Source organism: Homo sapiens, chromosome 21 (genome assembly GCF_000001405.40).
Source record: "Homo sapiens chromosome 21, GRCh38.p14 Primary Assembly".
Taxonomy (NCBI): domain Eukaryota; kingdom Metazoa; phylum Chordata; class Mammalia; order Primates; family Hominidae; genus Homo; species Homo sapiens.
This window is the reverse complement of record NC_000021.9, coordinates 44,805,001-44,822,987: the sequence shown is the minus strand read 5'-3', so window position 1 is coordinate 44,822,987 and position 17,987 is coordinate 44,805,001. Positions and strand designations below refer to the sequence as shown.

Sequence of the window (17,987 nt, the reverse complement as noted above, 5' to 3'; positions counted from 1 at the left end):
GTTTTTTTAATCTATTCTGATTGATGTTGATAGTACATTTGTAATCTGTGTTTTGTTACCTTTGATCAATTTTTTTTTGAGACAGAGTCTTGCTCTGTTGCCCAGGCTAGTGTGCAATGGCGTGATCTCAGCTCACTGCAACTTCCATCTCCTGGGTTCAAGAAATTACAGGTGCCCACCACCATGCCTGGCTAATTTTTTGTATTTTTAGTAGAGATGGGGTTTTGCCATATTGGCCAGGCTGGTCTTAAACTCCTGACCTCCGGTGATCCACCCACCTCCGCCTCCCAAAGTGCTGGGATTACACTGCACCCAGCCTGAATATTTTCTTCTGACCTATCTTTCAGTTCATTAATCATCTCTTTCACTGTGTCTAATCTGTTTCAAACCCATCCATTGAATTTATAACTTCAGCTATTGTTTTTTTAATTTCCATTAAATTGTTTTTTATATACCCCACTTCTCTGCTGAACATTTCCATCTCATAATCTATTTTCTTGAACATATTAATCACATTACCTTAAAGTGTATGATAATGTCAATATCCTGTTGACATGATAATCCCATGGAATTATTCCTACTTTATTTATATATATATTTTTTGGTTTTGGATCATTTGTCTCCTGGTTTTCTTTGTAAACTTTAAATCTGGATATTGTATATGGAAATATTTTAGTTAATTTGAGGCCCTGGATGATGCTATTTACCTCTGCATATTTCCTTTTGCTTTGGGCTGGCTGTGGGAAAGAGAGCAGATCAACTTAGTCTGGGAGTCAGCCCTTTGGAAGCTTGGTTTCAGACTTTGAGAGGGACGATCTACTCACCCCTCAGCCTTCCTCCCCTATTGCAGCCCTCAGTGCTCTCAGCTGAAGGTCTGGGTCACTCATCAGAGTCTCCCTATCTTGTGGGCTGTCACCAATTATTGTCTCCCCAACCCTAGGAGATGCAAAAGCTCTGCTCAGTGTGTCAACTTCTTTCCACTGCATATGTGAGACTGAATTGTGTCCCCCCAGCATTCACATGTTGAAGCCCTGACCTCCAATGTGATTTCATTTGGAGACAGAACCTTTAAAGAGGTGATTAAGGTTAACTGAGGTGATAAGGGTGGGGCCCTAATCCCAGAGGACTGGTGTCTTTGCAAAAGGAGGAAGATACACCAGAGATCTCTCCCTCTCTGCAGACACAGCAGAAAGGCCATTGTGAGAACACGCCAAGTTGGCTGCATACAAGTTGGGAGGAGAGGCTTGACCGGACACCAACCCTGATGGCTCACTGATTTTGGGCTTCCAGTCTCTAGAACTGTCTGGAGGCTGGGAAATAACTATCAATGGTTTAAGCTGCCCAGTCTGTATTATTTATTTATTTTTTTTTGAGACAGAGTTTCACTCTTGTTGCCCAGGCTGCAGTGCAATGGTGCTATCTTGGCTCACCACAACCTCCGCCTCCCAGGTTCAAGCGATTCTCCTGCCTCAGCCTCCCGAGTAGCTGGGATTACAGGCATGCGCCACCATGCCCGGCTGATTTTGTATTTTTAGTAGAGATGGGGTTCCTCCATGTTGTTCAGGCTGGTCTCAAACTCCTGACCTCAGGTGATCTGCCTGGCTCAGCCTCTCAAAGTGCTGGGATTACCGGCGTGAGCCACCGCGTCCGGCCCCCGGTCTGTATGTTTTTATGGAAGTCTAGGCTAACACAGGATACTAATCACCAAGTGCCTCAAAGGAAAAAAACTCTTCCCTTTTCTTTTTGAGGTGGGGGAAGGTCTTTGCCCCTCACAGAAAGACTTCTTTTGGTAGCTGATAGCCTTAAACAGATTTAAAGAATATTTTATACTGATTTTTGGGCTATTTTTGTTGGGTTTGTCTGAGGCAACCAGTCCTCCCTAACTGTAAGTAGAAACGTCTCTGAACGCCTCAGGGATTTCTCCTCACATGCCAAGCATCTGTGTCAGTCTTCTCACTCAGCCATTGGATACTCAGGGGCCCTTTCCATTTATGGAGTCAAATATTTCTTTAGTTCAGAGAAATTTCTTATTTTTACTTTTTCTTTGAGATAGGGTCTTGCCCTGTTGCCCAGGCTGGAGTGCAGTGGTGCGACCTTGGCTCACTGCAGCTTCTGCCTCCTGAGTTCAAGCTGATTCTCCAGCCTCAGGCTTCCAAGGAGCCAGAATTACAGGCACACACAACCACACTCAGCTAATTCTTGTATTTTTAGTAGAGATGGGGTTTCACCATGTTGCTCAGGCTGGTCTCAAACTCCTGACCTCAGGTGATCCGCCTGCCTCAGCCTCCCAAAGTGCTGGGATTACAAGCGTGAGCCACCGTGCCTGGCCTCAGAGATATTTTCTCCAATTCTGTCTTTGATTTTGTCCTGGTTTCCTTTTTTCCACCTTCTCCTGCAGCTCCTGTCAGGTGGACGTAGCCCTTCCTGTACTGATGCCCGGTGTCTCGGCCTTCCAACCTTCCCTCTCTCTTTTCTTTTTTTTTGAAATGGAGTCTCACCCTGTTGCCCAGGCTGGAGTGCAGCGGCACGATCTTAGCTCACTGCAACCTCTGCCTCCTGGGTTTAAGCGATTCTCCTGCCTCAGCCTCCCAAGCAGCTGGGATTACAGGCATGCGCCACCAGGCCCGGCTAATTTTTTTGTGGAGACGGGGTTTCACCATGTTGACCAGGCTGGTCTCGAACTCCTGACCTTGTAATCCACCAGCCTCAGCATCCCAAAGTGCTGGGATTACAGGCATGAGCCACCCAGCCCAGCCCTGACCTTTCCTCTCTTAACTTCTCCATCATGGGAGAGTCCTGTGACTTTGTCTCGCAGTTCTTTGCGTCCTCAGCCAGGACCCCTCTCCTAGTCACATGTGGGTCGAGCTTTCATGTCAGCAATGCTGTTACTCATTTGCCAGTTCCCTGCCTTCTCATGAGTCTTCTTGTTGGGACCATCGCCAGGTGTGGCGACCCTCCGGAGGGGCTCTGGCCATTTGGGTTCTTTACCCTGTGCTCGTGGTAGGCCACGGTTTTTCCTGAGCTCTGGTTCCTCCGTCCATTCGATCCCCTTTGGCTGTGTCCTTCAGAAACCTCTTGGCGTTCGGTCCACCAGCGGTGTCCTTTGTGTCCCCACAGCTGCGACAGAGCCTTTTTGCATCTTTGCTGTCACATGAAGGATTCGGGGCAGGTCACAGTGTGGGAGACAGACACAGCATGAATTGAATTCAGACCACCATTGTCTTATAGCCTGGCTTTTTAAAACCTAATGTCATCTGAGCCTCTTTTTCCCTTATCCATGACTGTAGTCACGCATCACTTCGTGACACAGCAACTGGCGTAATTTCGAGCGGTAACACATTTGGGTTCTGTGTCTCATGATTTCTAAGCTGCGTGTTTCTCACTTCCACAACACTGAAGCGGGCTGCCGTCATCCACAGCCTGCCGGAGTTTAGTGTGTCTGTGCTACCTACGGTCGTGTTGTTTTATGATTAACGGTGTCTTGGAGTCGATAACTCTCTGAACCCTGCCTGCCCTAGGGCACTTCCAGGGCCAGCAATCTGTGGGCTCTGAGGCGCCACGTCCCCTCGGAAGGGGCTGGTTGCGGAGCCCCCTCCCAGGACCGTCTGAGCTGGCCACCCACCTCCACATCCTCTGCTGAGGCCCTGGGCTCCAGGTTCCAGAAGGAAGGGACCACACCTTATGACCTGCCTGGGACTGGGGCTGACTCTCAGACCCTCTCCCCGAAAGACTTCAGCAGCCTTCCCCCTCCTAAGTGGGGGCTCTAGCCAAGAAAGTGAATTTTTGAGTAGAAGACGGTTTGTGAAGTTATGGTCCATGAAGACTTGTCTCCATGGCTTTGCGACGTTGCTCAGTTGGCTGAGCCTTTCCCAGGCAGGACAGAAACGGCTCAGACGCTTAGGTTCAAATCCAGGCCCTGCCATTTCCCAGCTGAGCCTGAAGTGCGGCCTCCCCCGCCTTCGGCCGGGCTCACCATCAGATGAGACCTCCGCCACGCCCCGGCTGGCACCACCCGGGCACTCCTGAGGGACGCAGGGGTGTCCGCCCTCAGGTCCGTTCCATCCGAGGCCCTGGGATCACAGACATGGAGGCCGGGGCGGGCCAGGCACCCCAGGAATGGCGCCCGCAAGTCCGGGGAGGCCGTCCTGCCGGCCCAGCGCGTTTCCCGCGTCCACGAGGTCCCCGTTCCGCCGGCACTGGCGGCGTCCAGCCTGGGTTTGCCCGCGCTCGCCGACGTGGCGGCCTGGCCAAGCTCGGCGCCGCTCACCAGCGCTGACCTGGGGGTGGTTTGACCTCCCAGTGCCTCAGTTTCTTCACAGGTAAAACGGGTCTTCTTGAGGACGGGTGTGGAGGGCCCGGGGCAGCCCCGTAGGAGCGTTGGCCAAAGGAGCCCGGCCTGGGGCTGACAGGAAACCGCGGCGGCAGGGAGGCGGGTGGCGCCCCCAATCGTCTAGGGTGCTGGCCCGATTCGCGCGGCCCCCGCGGACGGGACCCCGCGGGCCGCCTTCTCCGCTCTGTCCGCGGCTCCTGAGAGGGAACGTCACCCCCAGCGTCCTCCCTCCTCCGCCCCAGGTCCCTGCGGCCATGGGCGGCGGCCCCGGCCTCACTTCCCGGCGCCCCAGGAACGCGGCCCCCAGGAAAGGAGTCGGGGCCCGGGCGACGCGGGGAGGCGGGCAAGGGTCCCCAGGGCCCGGGCTCCCCGTAAACGCTCCTGGCCCGCGCCCCACAGCGCCCTAGGGCTTCCGCGCCCGACGGGGTCGCGCGGGACCCGCCCCGTGACGCATCTCCAACCGCCCAGAGCCGCGGCCCGGCCTGCGCGCGCCCGACGCCCCGGGGAGCGCGCCTCGTGAACGCGCGCAGCCACGTGACCCCCGTGCCGGCCAACGGGTGCGCCGGGATTTGGGGGATAAAGCGCGGCCCCGCGCACAGTTGCGGCGGGAGAGCGGCGGGGCCGAGAGCGTGACTCGCCCGCTCCGCGCTGCTTCCCCCGCGCCGCCTCCCCGCGCCGCTCGCGCAGCCATGTCCGAGGAGAAGCCCAAGGTAAGCGCGGCGACCCCGCCTGCACGCGCGTCTATCGCGGGCGTCCCGCCCCCAGCCCGGCTCCGCCCCCACCCCGACTCCGCCCCGCGTCCCGCCCCTGACAGGCTCCGCCCCTCCCCGCCCTCTAGAGCCCCGCCCCTAAGTGGGCCCGCCCAAGGTGCGCCCCCTCTGCCCCCGCGAAGCGCGCTGTGCCGCGAGCTCCGCCCCCTCCGGGCCTGGCCACGCCTCCGCTCCACGCCCGTCTCCTCCCCAGCTGGGAAGGCGCGCGCCCAGCGCCTCCTTGAGCGCCCGGTGTCGGGCCCCGCGCTGCTGCTCCTGCAGAGCGCGGCGCCCTCGGATCCCGCCCCAGCAGTGTCCCCGAAGCGTCTTTGCGTGCTCCTCTCCTGAGTCATTGCTGGTTGGGGTCGCCCTCTCCCCCGGCATCGCCCTGGGTGCGGGATCCTGTGTCGAGTGCACGGAGTCGGCTCGGGAACAAGCGTCTGGGGTTACCCCCAAGGGGCGCGCTCTGAGGGGCCTGGCCCCTGTGAGCAGCACTGCCGTCCTTCCAGGGCGCCCATCGCGACCCCGGTATTCACCCACTTCTCCGCATCGTGTCCCGGCCATCGCGTCCCCCAGTGTGCGCCCACCCCTCTCCTTCGTGTCTCCCCAATCGTGCCCTCAGTGTGCACCTACTCCCACCCATCGCGCCCCGTGTGCACCCACCGCCTCCATCGCGTCCCCCGGTGTGCGCCCACCCCTCCCCATCGCGCCCCCCGGTGTACGCCCACGCCTCCCCATCACGCCCCCCATGGTGTGTACCCACTCCTCCCCATCATGCCACCTGGTGTGCGCCCACCCGTCCCCATCATCGCGTCCCTGGTGTGCGCCCACCCCTCCCTATTGCGTCGCCCTCTCCATCACACCCCCAGTGTGTGCTCACCCCTCCCCGTCGCGTCCCCCAGTGTGCGCCCACCCCTATCCATCGCGTCCCCCTTTCCATCACACCCCCAGTGTGCGTCCACCCCTCCCCATCACCCCCTCCACGATGTGCGCCCACCCCTCCCCATCACGCCCCCTATAGTGTGTGCCCACCCCTCCCTATCACGCCCCACGGTGTGCGCCCACTTCTCTGCATTGCGCCTCCCCCACCATGCGCGCCCACCCCTCCTTATCCAGCCTTGGGTGGGCTTTAGTCTCCCCCATTGCCATGCTGGGGTGTGCCTCCCTCCAGTCTCAGTCCTGGGGTATGCACCCTGCATTCAGGTGCACTGGCCATTCCTTCTCGGGAGGGTCTGTAGTCGCATTCTCCAGTGTTCATAAAAAGAGAACCTTTCCGAAGCCCTTGGTGTGCACTGTCGGCCTCTATGTTACATCCCAGTGGAAGATGACTAGAGCTGAAGGCTCTGTAAAGAGGCTGTCTCTGATACTGGCCTGGTCCTGGAGGTGACCACCCTCCCTTTACAGATGAGGGTGGAGGCTCAGTGCCAGACACTGGCGGGAAGTGGGATGGAACCGTCAGGAACCATGGTCGCGGCCTCTATGGAAGTCTGCACTCTGCTTGCTGTGGTCAGACTCCAGGGAAACCTGCCCTATCCAGATGGCATTTGGGGTGACCTTTGCTTTTTACATTTTGACTCCAGTGAAGTCAAAGTTCTCCCACTCTGGGGTTGTTTGAATATTTAAATACTTGTTAAAACTAGGTCAAATATAAATGTCCTTTATGTTTTTGTAGGTGGCTTCCTCTTAATGAAGAGTAAATGTAATAAAATACATATGATATTAATTTTCTCAGCAGTATTTACACTTAGCTCTGCCATGTGGTCAATCTCAGGCTCCAGTTCCGTTGAAAACACTTGTTTAATTCCAGAATGACTGAGTGGCTGCCACCTCACAGGCCCCGCTTCTGGTGGGTCCCCTCTGAGCCCATGTGGGAGCAGCTCTGCCCTCTGGGGCTCTGACGAAGGGGAAGAGGTGGACTCTGGGGCCCGGTGGTGCTGGAAAGAAGAGCTTTTAGGTCAGGCAGGAGAATGGTTCTGACTTCCCTGGATAGCTGAGGTGGAGGATTGACTGTAGCAAACTGAGGCCCATGTTTTTAGGGCTTCACTTTTTAACTCACGAGTTCACTTGCTTATTAGGAATTCACCAGGGGTCTGGGACAGATCGTCATTCTGTTTGGAGCAGAGGCACTGTGGCCGGCCCTGCCCTGCCCCAGCCTCTCCCGGGGCTGCAGCCATTCCCCCCGGGGCTGCAGCCATTACCCTGTGGGGGACGTCTGGGCCCTGCATCTGTGCCTTTGAACACACTCATACCTTCCTTCCCTAAAGAAGCCAGTGCATCCTCATGCTTGGGGAAGTGAAGGGGGCTCATGCAGGGGTCCCCACTTCCATCCTGCCTGGAGCTGTTTGCATGCTCTTCCTTCCTAGGCCAGTTGTCTCTGTGCTGGAGGCCACATTCGGGATGGGGAGATGGGGGTGTGCCAGCTCACCACTCAGGCTGCCGCCAAGCCACTGGCATCCCGGGAGTGGGCAGGGGTGTCTGGCCCAAGACTGGAGTCGGGGGGTGAGTGCCGCCCCAGGACACGCACCTTCAGGCTCGCAGCTGGAGCCCCTCACTGCCAAGGCCCCTTGCAGGCCACTCTAGCTCCCTTGACAGAGCACCATGCCTCCCCAGGGTCTCCCCAGGGTGCATACCCCAGGGAAGCAAGCATGGGTGCAGTCCCTGGGTTCACCCTCAGGCGAGCCTTCTACATCCCACTCCCTGTATTTAGGCATCGCTGGGACAGTTGTCCCTCTCCCAGCCAGGGAAGGAAAGGAGAAGTGGAGAGAACAGGCGTGTGATGTACAGTGCTTCCTGAGGGCAGCAGCTCAGCATGGGGTGAAAGGGTACCAGGACGCCCCAGACTTGACTTTCAGAGTGAGCCGGAGGGCCCTGCCTCATTGCTTCACTCACAAACGACTTTATCCCAGCAGTGCAGGCCGGCAGAGGGGTGCCCCACTTTTCGGCTCAGACTGAGCTGCCCCGAAGTTGGCTCCCAGTCTCTTGACATCAGCTTTTTGCCTCAACTCAAAATGCATTTTCAGGCAACAAGACACCCCGATTGTGCCATTGTTGAGTAGCTTCAAGTATGGCATGAATTAAAAAATAAAATAGTACCACCTACTGCCGCTCAGATAGGACAGTTTGAAACCAGAAAGTACTCGGAGGTGGCTTCCCTCACATTTGCTGATGTCAGGGCAGCGAGAAGGAGCCTGGCCGCCTGCTGTGGGGAGTGGCCGTCCTCAGTTGGATTCCCGAAATCACCACTTGAATGTCCCATAGGGTTCCTCTGAGTCACAAATGTTTTCTTCTGTTTTTGGTTTCTTTTACTAGTGCTGTATAGCTGCATGACTTTTGGATATGTGTTTTTACTGGTTTCATAAGAATTTTTTAAAAAAGAGATGGGGTCTTGCTCTGTTGCCCAGACTGGTCTCAAACTCCTGGGCTTACGCCATCCTCCCACGTCAACTCCCAAAGTACTGGGATAACAGGTGTGAGCCACTGTGCCCAGCCCACAAGAATAACTTTAAAATAAAGATGGATTTTCTCTTATTTTTCCCTAGACTTTGTTTTTTTCTTTGAATTAACAATGTCAGAGGACCCTAGGCTTGCATTGTTTTACACATGGATGCTTAACAAGTGGAAGTTAAAAATAAATTCTGTGTAAAAATAAAACCATCACGAGTGACTCTGAATTGCTGGAGAATTTTAAGAATTAGGTTGGTTTTGATGACTTTAAAAAGCCAACAATTACCTAAAGACTTGCCCATTCAAGTCGCGGTTATTTTGAGACACAGTTTTGAGGCCAGTCTCTGGTGTCTTCTGCAGGAGGGTGTGAAGACAGAGAATGACCACATCAACCTGAAGGTGGCCGGGCAGGACGGCTCCGTGGTGCAGTTCAAGATCAAGAGGCACACGCCGCTGAGCAAGCTGATGAAGGCCTACTGCGAGAGGCAGGTGCGGCACCTTGCTCCCCCGCAGAGCCTCCCCGTGTGCGCACTGGTCCTGTGCGTTCCAGGCATCCCCAGAGCACGAGCGTCTCGGGGCTGGACCCAGATGCAGCTGCCCGAGGTGCCCTCTTCGTGGATGGGCAGGCGGGGGCTTGTGCTGTAAAATTAGTCCAGGCTGGGCTTGTCCCCCATGGCCTTTTATAAGGTGGAGGGACCTAGAGGCTCGGAGAAGTGTGGTGGGTTTTTCTTCCTGACAGGGCGGCTGCCCGGGGTGCTGTGTTCTCCATGGGGTACTAACATCTGTGAAGTCTGTGATGCTGAAGGCTCTTGGGGGCCCTGCTCAGGTCTGGCCATTCTGGGGCTGCAGGTGGCGTGTGCCCCACGCCGCTGTCACCCTGTCCTCGCGTATGAGCTGGCCTGACCCTGGAGAGACACTGCCCTCATGTGCGGTGTGGTTTTCCATTTTGTTAGGAAAGGCAAGAAAGCGCGTGATTCTTTCCCCTTCTTCCCCAGTTTCAGGATAATGAGCTGCCCCACTGGCAGTGCCCAGCTGGGTGGATGCCTTCTGGCTGCTGTTTGTGACGTGGTGTGTGTGTGTCTGTTGTTCTTGGTAACGCTGTGGCGGACTCACCCTGGGCCAGGGGGTCCCTCTCTAGGCCACTTTTATGGGCTTTGCCCACCAGCTGCTGCCTGGTGTGTTGGGGGCCCGGCCCTGCAGCCAGGCGCCCTTCCCCAGGGAGCCCTGCTTGCCTGAGTGGGACCTAGAGGCTGCTTTTCTTCAGCCGCTTTGAAAATACAGCAACTCGTTGCCCTTTTATTTTACTCTTTTGCCTGTGGATTTTCAGTTAGATTTCCTCCTCTTTCCCTCCCACTTTGGATACCCTGCTCATAGGGGCAGTCACTGGCGACTGCCTTGCATTCTTTATTGGCAAGCAGCCCCTGACTTCCTTTCTTTGTGTTTGCTGAGGGCAGATCTTATTTTCACCTGCGAAAGGTGAGACTGAGCTTCCAGACACGCAGGTCCCGGTCTTCCCAGCAGAGTGAGTGGCCTGGCGCCGTGTAGGCCCCGTGATCCAGCCTCTGCCTGATGCTGGGCCCTGGCCCTTGCTGGAGTTTGTACTGCCTGGGCTCGTGGCCACTGTGTGTGTGACTTCCCGGGTGCCCATGTTCTCCTCTGCGCTGCGGGATGGCAGGCGTGTGGGGCCGTGTACATGTGGGGGGGGCTCTGCCCTTCCCCCTGCTCTCCCGGAGCTCCCCTCCTGCCCCACCTGCACTGCTGCTTGTGAGGCTGGCTGCTCAGCCGTGGTCCAGGGCCTCCTGTTCAAATCCTTCTAGAAACTTGGGTTCTCTCTTGGGTGTTTCCTGGATTAGTCCTCCTCCCTTTTGTGTTTTGTGGTGGAGCACATCCTCCAGGGTCTTGTCAGAACGGGCACAGAAGGGCAGCGTCTTTGAGACACTGCATGGCTGAACGTGACTTTTGCTTTTATAAACCTTCACACTTCAGTATGTGGCTGCACGTAATATTCTCGGTTGAAACTTTTTTTTCTTTTTTATTTCAGAGGTCAGCCATGAGAATAGCTCCCAATGTTAAAAGTGAAAAGTTCACCAGGCATGGTGGCTTATGCCTGTAATCCCAGCACTTTGGGAGGCTGATGTGGGAGGATCACTTGAGGTCAGGAATTCAAGACTTGAGGTCAGGAGTTCAGTGCCAAGCCTGGGCAACACAGGGAGACCCTGTCTCTACGAAACATTAAAAAAATTAGCCAGGTGTGGTGGTGCAAGCCTATAGTCCCAGCTACTCAGGAGGCTGAGGTGGGAGGATTGTTTGAGCCCAGGAGGTGGAGGCTGCAGGGAGCTGAGGTCATATCACTGCTCCAGCCTGGGTGACAGAGCAAGACCCTGTCTCAAAAAAAAAAAAAAAAAAAAAAAGGTGAGAAGTTCAGTGGATTCTGATTCTCTGTGCTTTGTTTGTAACTTGGTTTTTCCCTGGAAGTATCTGGGACCATATTCTGGCATTCAGTGTTTCCTTATGTGCCTCAGAGGTGGGTGATTTTCTCACTCATGCTGCTGGGCACTTTATGGGTCTGGACGTTTATTTTTATTCAGGAAATATGCCTTATGTTAGTTCTCTGATAATTTGTATCCTTCTCCAGACTCTGTTCCCTCTTTTTGGAGTTCCTGTTCCTCCTGCTGCTCATTGTCCTAGATATTTTAAATTTGATAATTTTTCTCCCATTTTGCTTTGGGCTTTATTGTTGCATTTGGGCTTCTTTCCGGGAGGTCATTTCAACTTTATCTTTCCACTTCCTGTGGACATTCTCATCTCTGTCATGATTTTTAATTTCCAAAAGTTCTTTTTTCTTTCTGTTCTTTGAGTGTTCTTTTTTTCTCAGTAGCAACTTATTTTTTTTGAGACAGGGTCTCACTCTGTCCCCCAAGCTGGAGCGCAGTGGTGTGATCATGGTTCACTGCAGCCTTGAGCCCTGGGGCTCAAGTGATCCTCCCACCTCAGCCTCCCGAGTAGGTGGGACTCCAGGTACACGCCACCACGCCTGGCTCATTTTTTTATTTTGTGGAGATGGGGTCTCCTTATGTGGTCCAGGCTGGTCTGGAATTCCTGGGCTTAAGTGATCCTTCTGCCTCGGTCTCCCAAAGTGCTGGGATTACAGGTGTGAGCCACCGCACCCATCCTCAGTAGCAATTGATTGTTTTCTGAAGGTAGTAGTATTTTTTACTTCCCATAGAATTTGAATCGTGAGTGTAGGTGTGTGTGGTGTGTATGTCCGTGTCTTTGTGCATGTGTGTGTATGTGTGGGTGTGTGCCTGTGTGTGTATGTGTGGGTGTGTGCCTGTGTGTATATGTGGGTGTGTGCATGTGTGTGTATGTGGGTGTGTGCATGTGTGCATTCGTGTGTGTGTATGTGTGGGTGTGTGCGTGTGTGTATGTGGGTGTGTGCGTGTGTGCATATGTGGGTGTGTGCATGTGTGGGTGTGTGCATGGGTGTGTGCATGGGTGTGCATGTGTGGGTGTGTGCATGTGTGTGGGTGTGGGCATGTGTGGGTGTGGGCATGTGTGTGCCTGTGTTGGGAGTGTTCTCCTGCCTCCTTCCTGTCCGTTCTCCTCTGCGCTCCTCCCCTCCTCTCTAGGCTGCTGCACAGTGAGCCTTTCCCTGACTGCTCTCACGCAGGCTGACTTCTGTGCAAGCATGGAGCACCGAGAAGCTGCTGAAAAGCTGTGTACATGGATGGCTGTGCTGCCAGGGCTGTGCATCCACATGGGGTGATCTGTCTGGATTGCAGGTTCTGGAGGCGCCCAGATGCTACAGTTTGAGAGTTGAGTCCTCCAGGCTCCGGCCAGCCTCCTGGAGGCGCATCTGGAGGGGAGAGGGGACTTGGCGCACAGTGTTGAGGGCACGCGCTTTCGTGGGCCTGTTTCCGCCCTGCGCCTGGAGCTCCGCACCCACCTTCTCAGAAAGCACATCTCATGTGTGCTGCCGTGGGAGGCACAGGGTTGTGGGGGTCCTGCCTGAGGGGTCTGCATGTGAACTTCCAGGCAGCTGTTCAGAATCAGCTGCCTGCCACAGCTCTGCCTCACAGGTTGGGGCGTGCCCAGTCCCTCCGCCCTAGGATCCTGGTCCAGTGTCCATCAGACCACCAGTGTCCACGCCTCAGTAGCCTCTGGCTCAGCCCAGCATTGACATATCTGCCCATCCCCACTCCCGTTTTCTTTGTCCTTCCTGTTTGTGCCTTTTTCATTTACTTCATTTCAGTGGGGTTTCAGGAGGGAGCAGAGATGCACGTTTTAACCCCGTCTGTCCTGTTTCAGTTAAATCAAAACTGCTCGTTGAGGAAATGTTTCTGCCCCTGACCACATTTCTCCATTCCCTCAGGACGCAGAAAGGCTGCGTGCTCTCCTTCCTGCTGCCCTCCTCAAGGCCAAAGTCATGGTGGTAACTGCTCCCCGGCCTCATGCAGCCTTCTTATCTGTCCCTCATTGGCACACAACCTGTTCCTTGCTGAGAACTTTGTAAAGGGGGGAAGTAGTGGTGCCAGCATTGTAGAAGTTCTACTCGGCTTCTGGAAAGATGGGAGGGATGACCCAGGACAGGTCAGGGCACCAGGACAGAGAAGATTCAGTGTTTGAATTGACCATTCCACACGGCCACTGCACTGAGAAACTTTGATTGAAAAGCTAGCCACTGGAAGGTTAGTATTCACCTGGCGGCTCATTTCCCCTCCCCTGGCACATCACCAATGCTAGTCCAGCTTTTCTCCTGCTCCTCAGAGACCTCCTGGCTGACAGCTGTCTGAGCTAGCGTCACTGTGACGTGTTACGCTTCCTCACCTGGGTTTCGTATGTAAAGAAAGGGTGGATTTTAGAGGTACATGAGTTTGGATGTTAGTCTAGGACGTCTCTTGTGTTCTGGTGTTTGAATGTAAGTCGGCTTTCCTTCTGCCATGGACCACTTACCTATCTGCTTTGAAACTGAACTGCCACTGGTTTGGCTTTAAGAAGTTCCCAGTATGCAATGGTGTAACAAAACCTGGGTTGAAAATGAGCCGTTTTAGCTCATCAGAGAGAAGATGGTAGAAGAGTGGGTTCTGAAAGCAGTGGTGTCAGGCACCGCGTGAAAGAGATTGTAGGCCCACTGGTGAGTTTTTAATACTGAGCTGGATCATAAATCTGCATATCAGAATGCTGATACTTGGATTAAAATATTTGGTTTTTGAATTAAGCCGTATCTGGAAATGTTTAATGGCCACTGCTTTTCCTCTCCAGGGCTTGTCAGTGAGACTAATGGCCACTGCTTTTCCTTTCCAGGGCTTGCCAGTGAGACTAATGGCCACTGCTTTTCCTTTCCAGGGCTTGTCAATGAGGCAGATCAGATTCAGGTTCGACGGGCAGCCAATCAATGAAACTGACACTCCAGCACAGGTACGGAGCTGGCTTCGCGTGGTTCCAGGGCGACTTCCGATTTGTGCGGGGTAACTGCCATTTGGGATACGCTTATTTGAGAATTGTAGGTGGGAGCTCATACAGAATGCCTTAATGATATTGATTATTAGATTATTTATTTTTCACATTTTAAATTTAAATTTTCAAATGAGAAAACTGCTTTGCAGACATCATTCTTGCTGTTTGGAGATGGAGCCAAGTGCTGGGCCCGTCCTCACTGTAAGGGAAGCGGGGGTGCAAGGACCACTCAGCGGCCCCTTCCCACTCATTGTCTGGACGCTTGCTGTTGTAGCCCGTGTGCAGCTTAGGGGCCAGCTGGATTCTTGTGCCCTTTAAGCATCTTGCACAAGTGACGTGGGTGGGCAGAATGTGCCATAACCCCTGATTATCAGTCTGCACAGCTCGTTTCTCTCAGGCACATGCAGACATGAATGAGATTTCATCTATCACGTTGCAGGGCATCATACTGTCATGGAAAGAGCTTTGGACCTGGAAACAGACTTTTTTTTTTGAGACGGAGTCTCGCTTTGTTGCCCAGGCTAGAATGCAGTGGCGCAGTCTCAGCTCACTGTGCAAGCTCTGCCTCCTGAGTTCACGCCATTCTCCTGCCTCAGCCTCCCAAGTAGCTGGGACTATAGGTGCCCACCACCACTCCCGGCTAATTTTTTTGTATTTTTAGTAGAGACGGGGTTTCACCATGTTAGCCAGGATGGTCTCGATCTCCTGACCTTGTGATCTGCCCACCTCAGCCCCCCAAAGTGCTGGGATTAAAGGCATGAGCCAACGCGCCCGGCCGAAACAGAGTTTTTTTTTAAACTTGGTTCAAGTTGCAGCTCTTGTCATTTGTCAGCTGATGGCCCCGTGACCAAGCATCACTTCATCTTGTGGAGTCTCAGTTTTGTCTGTCCATAAATGGAACCAATACCTGCTTTTTCTCCCTTTCAATGTTGTGAGAATCCACTGGAATGTTTTATGTGGAAATATTTTTGCAAAACATTTAAGATTTTAAATATTTACTATTCAGTATTTAATAAATATTGAAAACATCTTTGCAACAAGTATCCATTTGTACCTACTTGAGGAAACCTACACACCGCTGAGGCAGTGGCAGCTCTGGGAGTGTTCACCAGGGAGAAGCTGCTGAGAGCAGCTGAGCAGGGAGGGCCTCGTGGAGTCTCTGGGGCTTGACTGGGGGTCAGGGGGCTGGCTGTGGACAGGTGGACCGAGAGGCAGAGGGAGCCCTGCCTGGGGGCTCTCCCTCCAGCCCATAGTGTCGGTGGCAGGGTGAGGGTGGCCGACAGCCCTGATGGGACTCCTTTCCATCTGGGAGCATGACTACTTCCAGCCTTGCTGAGTCTGTGTAGGAACTGGCAGAAGCTTCCTCTTGCTTAGAGGATGGAAGAAGATCAGGGTGGGTGTTTTGCGCCCACTGTGTCAGGAGGAGAGAAGTGAGCGGGGGTGTTTCACTACCTTGCCTGGGCTTTAAATGGGGAGGGGCGGGGAGAAGCTGGCAATGGACCCTCACTTGACGGGCCCTTCTGTGAGCTGGGGGCTTTGGCTTTCATGGCATGGTCCCCCGCACTTGGTATAAAGCGCAAGGCTCCTGTGGGTCCTAGGACTCAGTGCTGCTAATCAGATGTTCTTAATTAGAATCTGATTTTGTGTAATTTTCAGTAAGAATTTTAGACATTTCAGTTTATCTTCTAGACTCAGTTTTTCTCTCAGTTAACATTTTAGCTTTGAATCTGCTTTTGTGAGTTTTGTTAGGGGAAGCTTGTTGAACCGTAAGGGCTGTAGTGAGCATACAGCAATGCCTCTTCCATGCGTGCTGAGCTGCAGTGAGGGGACGGACAAGAGCCAAGGTGTGACCAGGTGATGTCGCTAGTGTCAGGGAACACTCATGCCAGTGAGGATCTTCCCACTCTCTGATGAAAACTAACAGGCTCCCCTCTCTCTCGCTGTGCCTGTTGTGACAACCATGACAGCTGGAGATGGAGGACGAGGACACCATCGACGTGTTCCAGCAGCAGACGGGAGGTGTGCCGGAGAGCAGCCTGGCAGGGCACAGTTTCTAGAGGGCCCGTCCCCAGCCCGGGCCGTCCATCCTCGCATTGCTGTTGAATGGTGAGCACGTGACCATGCCGACCACAAAGGTGTCTGCGGAAACTCGAGGACATTCACCACGATGATTTTCCTCTCTTTGATGTACTTCAAGTGCAACTCAAAACTATATCTGCAGGGATGAATCTGTAACTTAAATTGGGCCAATCAGAATTGTTATCTTTGTTCAGGTAAAATGAGTTGCAAGATATTGTGGGTACTTTTGTGTGCTCATTTGTGTTTTCCCCCCCTCCTACAACATTTTTTTAACCCCAAAATTATAGCCTGAATGTTCGCTTTTAGTCTGGCCAGGGATCTGACTCCTGAGTTGGTTGCCTCTCCCCTGCTCACTCCAGTCACATAGAGAATTGGTGTTTCCCGCAGTGGGGATGCAGCTGTTGGACAGGTATTGGGGGCAAGGTTGGTAGGGAGGACAGACTGTCACTTGCTGTTACAGGCACAGGTGATTAAAATGCTAAATATTGCAAATTTAAGCTTTGTCAGTATATGGAAAAGTTGAAGGGAAAATACTGGAATGCTTCTTCAAAGGTTAAAAAATAACCGAGTCTTTTGGTAATTTGACCCCACGTGCTCTCTGGCCCTCAAGCATGTAACCTCGGGGTCTGAGGCCCAGGACCCACCCCCCTGCCACCCCTCCCACCCCACTCCCTGCTCAGTACCTGGCGTTGGTACACAGGCAAGGATTGGCACAACCAAAATTGGCCTTTTTCTCCCTCTTAATATTGAAGAAATTCCCACATTTCTCATTTGGTAATGGTGTTGTGGCCTCAGATTTCTTCTAGTATTTGCTTCTGATGAATGATTATGGTCTATACATAAAAAAGTAAGACTAAGTATTGCTGAATTTGCAGTTATGTTGTCGTGTATAAGAGCTACTTCCAAGTGTGGTTACAAATGAACCCATGGAATGATGACTTCATGTTCTTCTCGTGGGTTTGTGCCGTGCTGCTTTCCAAATAGGTATTGAATTTATGCATTAGTCTGGTGATTTCAGTTCTGTGAAATATTTTGGGATCTATACCAATTAAACATTTTCATAGTTCTGCCTATTGTCCTTCCCTGAGGCTCCATTGCTGCTTGGTGGCCATTCTCTGCCTTTTTACAGTCACCTGAACAATGACCCATCATCTCTTGCTTGCTTGAAATCTTGCTGAAATGTTCTCATTTCCTGTTTGCTGTATGGGCTCGGGTGGGATGTTTGTTGGCTCTGTTGTGTTTATTCACCAATTTGTACATTATTTGTTGTCCTTTACTACTGTAAACAGTAAATATAGTTTGGTATTCTGTCTCTTGGCTTCTACTAAACACTGCATTTGAAGGTTGGGGCATACTGGTACAATTCAGTGTTTGAATTGACCATTCCAGGCAGCCACTGCACTGAGAAACTTTGATTGAAAAGCTAGCCGCTGGAAGGTTAGTATTCGCCTGGCAGCTCATTTCCCCTCCCCTGGCACATCACCAATGCTAGTCCAGCCTTCTTCCTGCTGAGGGATGCATCCTCTCCTCAGAGACCTCCTGGCTGACAGCTGTCTGAGCTGGCATCACTGTGACATGTTACCCTCCCTCTCCTGGGTTTCGTATGTAAAGAAAGGGTGGATTTTAGAGGCAGGTGAGCTTGGGTGTTAGTCTAGGACATCTCTCGTTTTCTGGTGTTTGAATGTAAGTCAGCTTTCCTTCTGCCATGGACAACTTACCTATCTGCTTTGAAACTGAACTGACATTGATTTGGCTTTAAGAATTTCCCAGTGTGCAGTGGTGTAACAAAACCCAGGTTGAAAATGAGCTGTTTTAGCCCATCAGTTGAATGAACCCAAGGTGAAGAAAGATGGGCAGCTGTGGAGATGGAACACGTGATTCACTTGCACCAGGAAGAGTGCACGGATTAAGGCACAATACAGGATGGG

At 53.1% G+C, this 17,987-nt stretch overlaps 1 protein-coding gene across 2 annotated transcripts, besides 5 other annotated features; it reads left to right on the top strand.

Moving 5' to 3' along the window:
* Positions 4,315-4,414: a silencer, noted in NCBI's record as "silent region_13391". NCBI's record gives its function as "represses an Ori minimal core promoter by ATAC-STARR-seq in GM12878 lymphoblastoid cells {active_cell/tissue: GM12878}" and the evidence as "EXISTENCE:reporter gene assay evidence [ECO:0000049][PMID:35858748]".
* Positions 4,435-5,014: a silencer, noted in NCBI's record as "silent region_13390". NCBI's record gives its function as "represses an Ori minimal core promoter by ATAC-STARR-seq in GM12878 lymphoblastoid cells {active_cell/tissue: GM12878}" and the evidence as "EXISTENCE:reporter gene assay evidence [ECO:0000049][PMID:35858748]".
* SUMO3 (small ubiquitin like modifier 3) lies at positions 4,926-17,371 on the top strand. Of its 2 annotated transcripts, none has more exons than NM_006936.3 (4): positions 4,926-5,040; positions 8,884-9,012; positions 13,870-13,941; positions 15,948-17,371. In NM_006936.3, the coding sequence occupies exons 1-4, from the start codon at positions 5,020-5,022 to the stop codon at positions 16,035-16,037; spliced, it is 312 nt and encodes a 103-aa protein (NP_008867.2). In that variant the 5' UTR covers positions 4,926-5,019; the 3' UTR covers positions 16,038-17,371. The 2 variants fall into 2 exon arrangements, with proteins under 2 accessions (NP_008867.2, NP_001273345.1); NM_001286416.2 differs by having other exon boundaries at positions 8,884-9,126.
* Positions 5,195-5,394: a silencer, noted in NCBI's record as "silent region_13389". NCBI's record gives its function as "represses an Ori minimal core promoter by ATAC-STARR-seq in GM12878 lymphoblastoid cells {active_cell/tissue: GM12878}" and the evidence as "EXISTENCE:reporter gene assay evidence [ECO:0000049][PMID:35858748]".
* Positions 7,074-7,588: an enhancer, noted in NCBI's record as "H3K4me1 hESC enhancer chr21:46235315-46235829 (GRCh37/hg19 assembly coordinates)". NCBI's record gives its function as "activates a minimal SCP1, AML or CMV promoter by ChIP-STARR-seq in naive H9 embryonic stem cells {active_cell/tissue: H9 hESC(naive)}" and the evidence as "EXISTENCE:reporter gene assay evidence [ECO:0000049][PMID:30033119]".
* Positions 15,667-15,820: a silencer, noted in NCBI's record as "fragment chr21:46227083-46227236 (GRCh37/hg19 assembly coordinates)". NCBI's record gives its function as "represses an EF-1alpha promoter that drives an FKBP-Casp9 reporter gene in an ReSE screen in phorbol 12-myristate 13-acetate-treated (for megakaryocytic differentiation) K562 erythroleukemia cells {active_cell/tissue: K562(+PMA)}" and the evidence as "EXISTENCE:reporter gene assay evidence [ECO:0000049][PMID:32094911]".

Coding starts and splice junctions, on each gene's coding strand:
- SUMO3 (NM_001286416.2), top strand. CDS start 5,020: ATGTCCGAGGAGAAGCCCAAG. Junction 9,127..13,869: donor CCCAGATGCAGCTGCCCGAG/GTGCCCTCTTCG, acceptor TTTCCTTTCCAG/GGCTTGTCAATGAGGCAGAT. Junction 13,942..15,947: donor AAACTGACACTCCAGCACAG/GTACGGAGCTGG, acceptor CAACCATGACAG/CTGGAGATGGAGGACGAGGA.